This window comes from Homo sapiens, chromosome 11 (assembly GCF_000001405.40).
Source record: "Homo sapiens chromosome 11, GRCh38.p14 Primary Assembly".
NCBI lineage: Eukaryota > Metazoa > Chordata > Mammalia > Primates > Hominidae > Homo > Homo sapiens.
This window is the reverse complement of record NC_000011.10, coordinates 98,668,432-98,682,310: the sequence shown is the minus strand read 5'-3', so window position 1 is coordinate 98,682,310 and position 13,879 is coordinate 98,668,432. Positions and strand designations below refer to the sequence as shown.

Genomic DNA, 13,879 nt, shown 5'->3' with positions numbered 1-13,879 from the left:
AAAAAATTATGTTTATTATCTATTGCAATCACTCTGTTATAACCATAAGAGCTTTCAGAAGTCAAATTGTGGAAGAGTTTATCATTTTAGGAGAAAATAGCTATCCTTAGTGAATTATACAATAGTTTGAAGATCCATATTCTTAGAAGTTCATGTGAAAGGCAGTCAGAATGTTAAATATATTATTCGCACATGTTTAACATGAGTTTAACAGAAGCAACTTTTTCAATAACAATATAATACTGAGTTAGTATAATCGACTTATACATCTTACGTATATTTGAAAATGTAACATATTTTAAAATAAAATCTCTAGGGCGTTTCCAGTGAGGATTACTAGTTAACAGGGAGAAACAATCTTGTACTATGTCTAAGTCACTGTTACATTATTTGTTAAAAGCTCATTGACCATCTCAAAACTATTTCTATATCTACTTCTTTCTGAAGTGAATAATGGTCGTCTTGAGAATTATTACTAATTATTGGGGCAAATTAATGATAGTATCTAAAATATGTATTTTGCTTCTGCTGTACACAGAGTGACTATTTAAGATAATTATATCTTGTTTATGTATACAGAAGCAAGTTAAAAACCAAAGGCATTTTCTGACAATATGTCCAACTACATGCAGCCAGAAAGCATCACTGCCACCAAAAAAGACCAAATTATTGAGTAAATCAACCCTATCTGGGCAGATCTTCAGAGAGAAAACCGAGAGTGAAAGGGGAGGTGGCACTGACACCACAGCGAAAGAGTGAGGACGCTGGGAACCCTGCATGAAATATCCGAATGCCAAGGCTAGTTCCTGGTCCTGAATGGCTCCTGGGGAAGAGATGTGTGAGGGAACTGAGGAACAGCTTACTCTTGCCATGGGCCTCTGGGATCCTATAGCTGCAGGTTATACCACATCCCACCTCATGGACCTGTGAGCCAGCAGGAGCATCTGCCCGGGGAGTAGGCAAAAACGACTTTGGCCAGCAGAGTCCAGGAGCTTTTGTGCACAGGGTGGCTCTGGCAGAGCATGGCCACAAGTGTCCACTCCCCAGGTCTTCCCAACTTCCTCGGATAGGCTGTAGCCCCACTTGACCGCTGGGCCAGGAGAAAGTGAGGCTAGACCTGGGGTGCAGTGGCTCATGCCTGTAATGCCAGCACTTTGGAAGGCCAAGGCGAGCAGGTTACTTGAGGTCAGGAGTCCGAGACCAGCCTGGCCAACATGGTGAAACCCCGTCTCTACTACAAATACAAAAACTAGCAGAGCATGGTGGTGCCACCGGGGCCCCTCTGTAATCCCAGCTACTCGGGAGGCTGAGGCAGGAGAAACGCTTGAACCCGAGAGGTTGCGGTGAGCCAAGATCGCGCCACTGCACTCTAGCCTGGGCAACAGAGCAAGACTCCATCTCAAACAAAAAACAAAACAAACAAACAAAAAAGGTGCTGCTGGCTTCTCTGTGGGACTGGGGCATGTCTGTTCTGTAGGCCCTCCTGCCCATCACCCTTTGCAGGGTCCCTGCCTAGCTGCCGCACAGTGCACCCTCCGCTGATCTCCCTGGGTGCTTTACTCTACCTAAGTACTTTCCCAGCAACCTATAAGCACTTTGGATCCCCCATGAACAGCCTGGCCCTGAGGCAGACCATCTGGTTGCCCCAGGGCTGCAGCATGCAGCTTGAGAGTGCTGAGCTGAGAGCTGTGGTAGGCATTTGAGTGGGACTGGATCCCCTACTCTTGGATCATGGAGAAGGACAAGATGCACAGCAGGTTCAGGGACCAGCGGGAGCAGGGATGATCCAGAAAGGATGTAGTGTGTCCTATCTCCCTGCTATAGCTTCTGTCTGAGAAAGCCCCGTGGCCCAGAACATCTAACAAACAAATTCAGGTGCAGCACCAGTGATCAAAGGGGGCTCCGTCAAGGCCCAGGGGCAGACCTGAAGAAGGGGGTCTCTCTCTCCCCACCCCACACTGCAGAGCATGCCTGCAAGTGAAAAGAAACACAAAATAGCCAAGCAACTGAGTAAGTGCATGTCCATCAGCAATTATTCTTAATCACCATCTACTAAATCACATCCCAAACTAAAACACCAAAAAAAGGCATTCTGTTAATATACATACCTGGGAAACCAGGAGCAAGGATTGACCGGGAAATAAAGATCTTCTACAGGGCTTTGGCCATCTTAAAGTATCTGGAAATGAACCCAACTGACTACACAGAACTTATACCACAGTCAAAGGAATACCAGCACCTGCCAAATGAGAAATGATCATCACAAGAAAAGCTAGAATGTCCCCTTACTTCCAAAGAAGCCCACTACCCCCCTCCCCCACCCCCAAAATTGTACTTAACCAGACTGAAATGGTTGAAATGACCCACAGAATTTAGAATCTGGATGAAAAAGGAGCTCACTGAGATGCAGAGAAGGTTGAAACCCAATCCAAGGAATCCAAGGAATCCAGTAATACGATCCAAGAGGCAAAGGACAAAATAGCCATTTTGAGAACCAAACTGAGCTTCTGGAACCAATAATTTCACTACAGGAATCTCACATTACAACTAGAAGTATTAACAGCAGAATAGACTAAGTTGAGAAAAGAAACTCAGAGCTCAAAGAAAAGTTATTTGAATCAACTCAGGCAAAAATAAAGAGAAAATAATGTAATAAATTGAACAAAACTTCTCATAAATATGGGATTATGTAAAAAAAATGAAATTTAAAACTCACTGGCACTCCTGAGAGAGAAGGAGACAGAGTAAGCAATGTGGCAAATATATTTGAGGATAAAGCCCACACAAAATTTCCCTAATTTCACTAGAGAGGTTGACATGCAAATTTAAGAAATACAGAGAACCCTGGCTAGATACTATATAAGACAACCAATTTCAAATCACATGGTGATCAGATTCACCAAGGTTAATGTGAAAAAAAAAAAAATTTAAGGCAACTAGAGAAAAAGATCAGTACACCTACAAAGGAAAACCCCATCAGGCTAGCAGCAGACTTCTTAACAGAAAATTTACAAGCCAGAAGTGATTGGGGACCTAATTCCTGCATCCTTAAATAAAAGAAATTTTAACCAAGAATTTCATATCCTGCCAAATTAAGCTTCATAAGCAAAGGAGAAATAAAATTATTCTCAGACAAGCAAATGCAGGAAATTTGATAACTCTAGACCAGCCTGGAGCCGGGCGTGGTAGCTCATGCCTGTAATTCCACTTTGGGAGGCCGAGGTGGGCAGATCACGAGGTCAGCAGATCGAGACCATCCTGGCTAACACGGTGAAACCCCGTCTCTAATTAAAAAAAACACAAAAAATTAGCCAGGCGTGGTGGCGGGTGCCTGTAGTCCCAGCTACTCGGGAGGCTGAGGCAGGAGAATGGCGTGAATCCAGGAGGTGGAGCTTGCAGTGAGCCAAGATCATGCCACTGCACTCCAGCCTGGGCAAGAGAGAGAGACTCTGTCACAGAAAATAAATAAATAAATAAATAAATAAATAAATAAATAAATAAATAAACCAGACTTATGAGAGGTTCATAAGGAAGTGCTAAACATGGAATCAAAAGAATGACACCTGCTACCACAAAAACACATTTAAGCACATAGTCCACAGACACTTTAAAATAACTACACAATCCATTCTACGTAACCACCAGGTAACAACACAATTACGGAATCCAAATCTCACATATCAAGGCTAACACTGAATGTAAATAAGCTCAACACACCAACTGAAAGACATGGAATGGCAAGCTGGATAAAAAGACAAGAGCCAATCATCTGCTATCATTAGCAGACCCATCTCATGTAATAACACCCAGAGGTTCAAAGTAAAGGGACGGAGAAAGATAAATGATACAAATGGAAAACAAAAAAGAGCAGGAGTCACTATTCTTATGTAAGCTAAAACATACTTTAAACCAACTACTATTAAGAAGGGCAAAGAAGGGCATTGCATAATGTTAAAGGGTGCAATTCAACAGGAAGAGTTAATTATCCTAAATATATATGCACCCAACACTGGACCACCCATATTTATAAAACAAGTTCTTCCTGACCTACAAAAATACTTAGACAGTCACACAATGAAAATGGGAGACTTCAACACCCCACTAAGAGAATTAGATAGGTCATCTAACAAAGCAATTCTTGATTTAAACTTGACACTTGATCAATTGACCTAATAGACATCAACAGAATACTCCACCCAGCAACCACAGAATATATATTACTCTCACCTGTACAAGGAACATACTTCAAGATTGACCACTTGCTCAACTATAAAGCATGTCTCAGTAAATTTTAAAAAAAAATTATACCAAACACATTCTCAGAGCACAGTACAATAAAAATATAAATCAATATCAAGAAGCTCTCTTAAAACTATACATATACATTTAAACTAAACAACTTGCTGCTGATTAACTTCTGGGTAAACATCAAAATTAAGTTAGAAATAAAAAAATTCTTTGAAATTGATGAAAATAGGGAAACAATTTGCCCAAATATCTGGGATACAGCTAAAGCAGTATTAAGAGGAATGTTTATGGTACTAACCACCTTCATCAAAAAGTTAGAAAGGTCTTGAATTAAAATCTAGCTTTGCATCTGGAAGAACTAGAATAAAAAGAACAAACCAACTCCTAGATGTAGCAGAATAAAAGAAATAACTAGGCCAGATGCAATGGCTCATGCCTGTAATCTCAGCACTTTGGAAAGCTGAGGTAGGAGGATTCCTTTAGGTCAAGAGTTTGAGAGCCACCTGGGCAACATAGCAAAAACCTAACACTACAAAAAAGTCAAAAAATTAGACACGGTTGGTGGCAGGTGACTGTAAGTCTCAGCTAGTTGGGAGGCTGAGTCAGAAGGATCACTTGAGCCAAGGAGTTTGAGGCTGCAGTGAGCTATGATCATGCTGCTGCAGTCCACCCTGAACTACAGAGTGAGACCTTATCTCAAATAAAAGAAAAAGAGAGAGAGAGAAGCTACAATTAGAAAAGAACTGAACAAAATTGAGAAGCAAAAATCAAGAATTGGTCCTTCAAAAGAATAAATAAGATTTATAGACCACTGGCTAGATTAACAGAAAAAAAAGAAAGTGAAGATCCAAATACGTGCAATCAGAAATGACAAAGTTTACATTAAAAATGATTGCACAGAAGTACAAAAAGATCCTCAGAGGCTGTTATAAACAACTCTATTCACATGAATTAGAAAAATCTAGTGGAAATGTATAAATTCCTGGAAATATACAAGCTTCCAAGTTTGAACCAGGAAGAATGTAAAAACCTGAAAAAAATGAATAGTAAGTTTTGAAATTGAATAAGTAATGAAAAACCTACCAAACAAAAAAAATACTGGACAAGACAGATTCACAGCCAAATTCTACCAGACATACAAGGAAGAAGTGGCACCAATCCTACTGAAACTATTCAAAAAAATCAAGAAGGGGTTCCTCCCTAACTCATCATCTGAAGCCAGAAACAGTCTGATATCAAAATCTGGGAGAGACACAACTACAAAGATATTGGATCTTCAGCCAATTTTCCTGATGAACACTGACACAAAAATCTTTAACAAAATACTAGCAAACCAAATCTAGCAGCACATCAAAAAGTTAATACAAGAGCAAGTGGCTTTATTCCTGAGATGCAAGGCTGGTTCAATATATGCAAATCAATATAAACACATAAACAGAATTCAAAGCAAAAAACATATGATCATCTCAACAGATGTAGAAAAAGCTTTTGATAAAATCCAGAATCCCTCTGTGATAAAAACCCTCAACAGACTAGGCATCAAATGAACATACCTCAAAATAATAAGAGCCATCTATGACAAACACAGAGACAACATCATCCTGAAGAAACAAAAGCTGGAACTGTTCTCCTTGAGAACTGGAACACGATAAGGATGCCCACTCTCACCACTTCTATTCAAAATATTACTGGATGTCCTAGGCAGAGAAATCAGGGAAGGGAAAAAAAATAAACAGCGTTCAAGTAGGGAAAGAAGAAGTCAAATTATTTTTCTTTGCTGACAATATAATTCTATACCTAAAAAACTCTAAAGACTTGGCCAAAAATCTCTTAGAACTGAAAAACAACTTCAGTAAAATTTCAGGATACAAAATGAATGTATGAAAATTAGTAGCACTTCCATACACCAATACCATTCAAGGTGAGAGTCAAATCAAGAAAACCTCATTTACAATAGCTGCAAATAATTGAAATACCTAGAGATACAGATAACAAAGGAAGTGAAAGATCTGTACAAGAACTACAAAACTCTTCTGAATGAAATTAGAGATAACACAAATAAGTGGGAAAACATTCCATGCTCTTGAATTGGAAAATCCAGTATCATTTAAATGGCTGTACTGCTCAAAGCAATTTATAGATCATATTAAATTACTAATGCCATTTTTCACAGAATTAGAAAAAAGATTCTTAAATTCATATGGAATTTTTTAAAAGTCCAAATCACCAAAGCAAGCAATCCTAGGCAAACAACAACAAAAACAAAAACTATCAAAGCCAGAGGCATCACACTACCGATCATATTACTTGACTTCGAATTATACTATAAGGCTACAGTAATCAAAATGGCATGGTACTGATACAGAAACAGACACATAGACCAATGGAACATAATAGAGAACCCAGAAATAAAGCCATGGACCTGCAGACATCTGATCTTTGACAAAGTCAACAAAAGCAAGCAATGAGGAAAAGACTTCCTATTAAAGGATGCTGGGATAACTGGCTAGACATATGCAGCAGAATGAAACTGGACCCCTACCTTTCACCATATAAAAAATTAACTGAAGATAGATTGTAGATTAAAATAAAAAACCACAAACTGTAAAAATCCTAGTAGAAAACCTAGGAAATACCCTTCTTGACATTGGCCTTGACAAAGAATTTTTGGCTAAGCTCCCAAAAACAATTGCTACAGAAACAAAAATTCACAAGTGGTATCTAATTAAAGAAAGGAGCTTATCCACAGCAAAAGTAGCAGTCAATAGAAGGAACAGACAACCTACAGATGAGAGAAAATATTCACAAACTATACATCCAACAAAGATCTAATATCAGAATCTATAAAGAAACTTAAACAAATCAACGAGCAACTCAAATAACCCCATTAAAAAATGGGCAAAGGACACGAACAGACACTTCTCAAAAAAATGGCATTCAAGTGGCCGATGAACATATGAATAAAATGCTCATCATCACTATTCATCAGATAAATGTAAATCAAAATCATAATGAGATACCATGTTACACTAGAGAGAATGGCTATTAGTAAAAAGTCAAAAAATAACAGACACTGGTGATAAAAGGATAAAAGGAAATACACCCTGTTGGTGGGAACGTAAATTAGTTCAGCCACTGTGGAAAGCAGTTTTGCGATTTCTCAGAGAACTTAAAACAGAGTTACCATTCAACCCAGTAATCCTATTGCTGGATATATCCCCACATGTGTATGTATATATCCAGCACCATTTATTGGGATATAAATGGTGCTGGGAAACTGGTGCTAGGATTTTCCCAAAAGTACATAAATAATTCCGTCAAAAAGATACCTGCATTTGTATATTCATCACTTTGCTACTCACAATGGCAAAGACATGGAATCAATTTAGGTAGCCATCAATGGTGAATTGAATAAAGAAAATGTGATATATATGCACCATGGAATACTACACAGCCACGAAAAAGAATAAAATCATGTCTTTTGCAGTAACATGGTTACAGCTGGAGGCCATAATCCTAAGATAATTAATACAGGAACAGCAAACCAAATACCATATATTTTTACTTATAAAGGAAAGCTAAACATTGGGTACTCATAGACATAAAGATGGGAAAAATAACACTGTGAAATACTAAAGGGGGAAGGGATGGAGGGGATTGTGTTTTGAAAAACTACCTGTTATTGGGTAGTATGCTCAATACCTGGATGATGGGACCCAGACCCTAAACCTCAGCATCACACAATAAACCCAGGTAACAAACCTGCCTGCGTACCCCCTGTATATAAAATAAAATTTGAAATTATTTTTAAAAGATGACATGCAACAACAGCAGCAATCACAAAATATTAAAACACAAAATATAGACTTAAGACAGCTTATCAAAGCACAATCAAAATATTAGGTAATATAAACTTAAGGTAGATAAAACAGGCAATGAGCAGTGAGACTGAAAAAATAAAATTGAATAAAGAATAATTTAAAACAAAAGGGACGCTTTGAAATTCCATACATTTTTCATGAGTGGGCCACAAATTTGCCACTGATATATTTAGTGATCGTTTCCCCTGTTCTTTAGTGTTATTCTACTGTAATTTCAAATGTTATATGTATTAGGTTGTTTTAAAATATTTGTTTGTATAAACCCCAGAATAACACATTTCCGATTGCTTATTTGAAGGAAGCAAACAGGTGTAAGAAAAGGTAGACCCAGAGGTCTTTGACCAAATCTGAAAGATGGATTGACTCATTTGAGAATATTGGTGGTATTCAGTAAATCACTGTGCTTCTCAGTGTAGGTAATTTTACAGATAAGGCATTAAAAGATGAACTGAAACCACAAATATAATCCAGTGAAGTACTAAAGAAAGCATAGACAAATGTGAAATTACTAAAGGCTGTAGAAATTACTTAAAATATTGTTTTAGTCCTCAATTCCAGGGATAACTTTCAATTTCAGGCTATGTGCTTATTAATTGATTTTCAATTATAACACCTGCCATATAGAGTTTAGGTACTTTGTTAACAGAATAGAATAAAAGTTAAAATCTATTATTTAAAAAATGTGTACCTTATTAAAATTAGAATACACCATTTGTCATAGATGATGTAGCCATTTATATGAATATCTTCAACTTAGTTACCTCATGTATTTTATATGCAGATAAGACTTAGTAATACATTTTACCCAACACTGCATAAAATTAAATCACATTTTCTAGTGACTTTTTAATATTTCAGCAGTACCTAATAAGAAATAAATTAAAACTAAAATTGAGTAGTTATTAAATCCACCTTTATTTCTAAAATAAAAATATTATTTATTAACCCAAAGTAAAATGCTGCCTAAATTAGCATTTCCACTTTAAAATAATTTTTAAAATCTTCACTATTTGACCATATGTGTCTTCTTTGATGTGAGTATATTAAGACTCTTTTTAAAAATGTGAATATTTGGTTTCAAGAAATTATCAAATTACCATATTTCACCTAACATTCCACATAGTTAAAGACAAAAGTTTAAGAAAAAGTTTTTTGGCAGTAGATTAATTATTTCATTGAATTTCATGTTTACCAATTGATTATTTTTTTCTCTGAATGACTCAGAAATTTCGCCCCAATCTCAGAAACAATAGCCCTACATTGGAATGTCATTGATAGTGGAACATCAGAGTCTCTAATATTTACATGTGCATTGATTATTTTACAGGCTTGTCTCGGAGGTATTGCAGGTTTGGCTTCAGACCATTGCCTAAAGCTAATATCGCAATAAAGTGAGACACAACAAATTTTTTGGTTCCCAAGTGCATATGAAAGTTATGTTTACACTATAGTATGTTAACTGTGTAATGCATTATGTCTTAAAACAATGTATGCACCTTAAATAAAAAAGACTTTACTGTTTAAAAATGATAAAGATCATCTGAGCCTTCAGTGAGTCATAATCTTTCTGCTGGTGGAAGGTCTTGCCTTGATGTGGACAGCCACTGACTGATTAGGGTGGTGGTTGCTGAACATTGGGGTAGCTGTGGCAATTTCTTAAAATGAGACAATAATGAAGTTTGCTGTAACTGCCCCTTCCTTTCACAAAAGATTTCACTGTAGCATGTGATGCTTTTTAGCAACATTTTACCCACAGTAGAACTTCTTTCAAAGGAGGAGTTAATCCTCTCAAACCCTGCCACTGCTTTGCTGAGAAAGTGTACGTAATCTAAAACCTTTGTGGTCCTATCAACAATGTTCATAGAATCTTCACTAGGAGTAGATTCCATCTCATGAAACCACTTTCTTTGCTCACCTAGAAGAGGCAATTCCTAATCTGCTCAAATTGTATCAAGAGATTACTGCAATTTGATTACATCTTCAGGCTCCATTTCTAATTCTAGTTCTCTTACCATTTCCACCACATCTATAGTTACTTCTTCTACTGAAGTCTTGAATGCCTCAAAGTTCTCCATGAATGTTGGAAATCAACTTCTTTTTAAAGTTCCTGTTAATGTTGATGCTTTTGCCTCTGACAATAAGTCAAATGTGTTCTTAATGACATCTAGAACGATGAATCCTTTCCAGGTTTTCAATTTACTTTGCCTAGATCCATTAAAGGAATCACTATCTATGGTAGCAATGCCCTTATGAAATGGATTTTTTAAAATAATAAGTCAAAATTACTTCTTGATCTATGAGCTGCAGAATGGATGTCATGTTAGCAGACATAAAAACAATATTCATCTCCTTGTAGATCTCCATCAGAGCTCTTGGGTGACAAAGTACATTGTCAATCAGCAGAAATATTTTGAAGAATTTTTTTTTTTTTCTGAGTGAAAGATCTCAACAGTGAGCTTAAAATATTCAGGAAATCATGCTGTAAAACAGTTATCCTCTAGACTTATTGTTCCATTTCTAAAGCACAGGCAGGGTAGACTTGACCAGTTCTAAAGGACCCTAGGATTTTCAGAATGGTAAATGAGCATTGGTTTCAACTTAAAATCGCCAAATGCATGAGCCCCTAACAAATGAGTCAGCCTGTCCTTTGAAGCTTTGAAGCCAGGCATTGGTTTCCCCTCTCTTGCTATGAAAGTCCTGGATGGCATCTTCTTACAATGACAGGTTGTCTTGTTTACACTGAAAAAGCTGTTTAGTGTAGCCACTTTCATCAATGATCTTAGCTAGATATTCTAGATAACTTGCTGTAACTTCTACATTAGCACTTGCTGTTTCACCTTGCACTTTTATGTTATAGGAGCAACTTCTTTCCTTAAACCTCATGAGGCAACCTCTGCTAGGTTCCACCTTTTTTCTGCAGCTTCCTCACCTCGCTCAGTTTTCATAGAATTGACAAGAGTAAGGGCCTTGCTGTGGATTAGGCTTTGGCTAAATGGAATGTTGCGGCAGGCTTGATCCATCCAGAACACTACAAATGTCACCATATCAACAATAAGTCTATGTGACTTTTTATTATTTGTGTGTTCACTGGAGTAGCACTTTTAATTTCCTTTCAGAACTTTTGTTTTGCATTCACAGCCTGGCTAACTGTTTGACCCACGAGGCTTTGCTTTCAGTCTACCTCAGCTTTTGACACGTCTTTCTCACTGTTTTATTATTTCTAGCTTTTGATGTAAAGTGAGAGATGTGCAACTCTTTCTTTCATTTGAATGCTTAGAGGCCATTGTAGCGTTATTAATTGGCCTTATGACAACATTGTTGTGTCTCAGGGAATAGCGAAGCTCAAGGGGAGGCAGAGAGATAAGGTAACGGCCTGTCAGTGGAGCAGCCAGAACACACCAGTTTATAGATTCAGTTTGCTGTCTTATACGGGGGCAGTTCATAGCATCCCAAGACAATTACAATAGTATCATCAAAGATCACTTATCACAGATAAACATAATAGATCTAATAATAATTTAAAATATTGGGAGGATTTCCCAAACATGACACAGAGACAGAAAGTGAGCAAATGCTGTCAGGAAAATAGCACCCATAGACTTGCTTGATGCAGGGATGGCACAAACCTTCAATTTGTAAAAACTTCAATATCTGTGAAACAAAATAAAGCAAAGAAGAATAAAAACAGGATGCCAGTATTGATTTATTAGTAGATATTTATTATAATTATTGGAATGTGATAGATGCTGGACTTATTGTAGTGAACAACAAATGCTGAATTTCATGCCCAAGAGATATTCATAACAGGACATTATGGGCTGCAGGCATACATTGGAGTCCTAACCTCCAGTAACTCAGAATGTGACTGTATTTAGAGATGGAGTCTTTAACGAGGTAATTAAGTTAAAATGACTTTATTAAGGTGGACCCTAATCCAACCTGACTGGTGTCCTATAAAAGAAGAGGAAATTTGTACCCAGCCAGATAGAGAAATGATAATGGGAGAAGAGAGCCATCTATAAGCCAAGAAGAAAGGTCCCAGAAGAAACCAACCCTCCTAACTCCTCGATCTAGAACTTCTGGCCTCCAGAACTATGAGAAATTGAATTTCTATTGTTTAAGCCACCCCTTCTCTTGAATCTTAGTAAAGCAGCCCTAGAAAATTAATACGAGTATATAGAATGTGATTTTGCTATGCTACGTAAAACACAGTGTGCCATAAGCTGAACAAAAAGGGACACTTAACTTGGACATAGAGGCAGCTTCATGAACATACAGTCGTTGCAGTCAAACAAAGATTTGTGCTTAGATGGGTCCTTGGATTGGTGTGATGCATTGCTGTCACCAACTTAAATTTTCTTTTCTTTTTTTTGTTCTTTTTTTTTAACCAAGAAGGCTCACATTTTTATTTTGTGTTGGTTTGCACAAACTATGTAGCTGGCCCTGTTTGAATTGTGGGCTTACAGGATACATCCTAGAGAAACTTAAAGGATGAGTAGATTAGTAGAACTAATGTGCTCAGCACATTGATCACACATGTGAGTCCTTAAGTGTGAATTATGTGTGTATGTGTGCATATGTATATGTGTGTGTGCATGTGTGTGTGTGTTGGAGGGAGAAGGAAATATTAAGTTAAATGAATACAAATACAGTAATTTAAATTCAATTTCAAACATAATCCTAGATATAGTGACAAGAAATTGATTTTCAGCACCATATTTTTATTTCCATTTAAGATTGGACACATAGAATTAAAACTGAGGAATAATTGTCCATCCAGGAAATTTTAGTGATGTAAAATTTATGTGGCTGTTGTTGGCATTAAATGACAAACCACATGTAAGGTACGGTGTGCATAATAGCCTTCATACTCTTTATTTGCTCTCCTTTTTATTTAGTGATTTTCATAATTGTGAAATTTTTATTGCAGTCTCCAATTTTAGCTTCTTACTAGAAAAAATATTTTTAGAGCACGAAGACTTTAAAAATCCTTAGCCCATTTCCTCATTTTTCATGGTTGTTCAATCAATCCCAGCTTTGTATATATCATTAATAGAGCTTTTAGAAACAGAGGACAGAGAAAATGCATGTGAGGTGATTGTCAAAGAAATAATACACTTTCCAAATTGTGGCTCCTTAGCTTGCAAGGGTTTACTGATTTTCTTATCAAAAATCTGGAATATCATTTTTGAAGTTTCAGGACAAAATTAATTTAAAAAATTTTGAAAGATGAGACCAACAGAGATATGGAGAATTTTACTACAAAGTCATGAAAGCAGAGATCTGACTGGTGAGTATTGAAGAATGTAGTAGTGTATGCATTATTATGCCCCCCCAATATTTTTTTCAAACATAACTTTCAGGCCTCAGTTAGCATGGATTTACAATACAAAATTACAGGATTATTCCCACATTCCAGTCATTTAGGTTCTATGTATTTTACACCATTTATCACACCATATTAAAATTGACACTAACAACTCATTTTATTGCTAGGTAGAGAACTTCTAAAGAGTAAGATTTATATATTTCATTTCTGTTTCCTGAGTACTTAGTTCAGTGTCTAGCAAATAATGACTAAGCAATGAATAGATATTGAATAAATGCAAAACTAATGGGCATCTAGATGGTTATATGGCATTATAATTCAATAAGGGCAATCTAGGAAAAAACATGAAAGATCACTTAAGAAGCCATATATTTTTAAAGGAAAATTTATATTTAAAATGAAAATAAAATAAACATCTCAA

The 13,879-nt window shown here is 36.7% G+C and overlaps 1 annotated feature.

Annotated features, from left to right (window-relative positions):
* Positions 10,725-10,925: a silencer, noted in NCBI's record as "peak1429 fragment used in MPRA reporter construct". NCBI's record gives its function as "represses an SCP1 promoter by STARR-seq MPRAs in K562 erythroleukemia cells {active_cell/tissue: K562}" and the evidence as "EXISTENCE:reporter gene assay evidence [ECO:0000049][PMID:32103011]".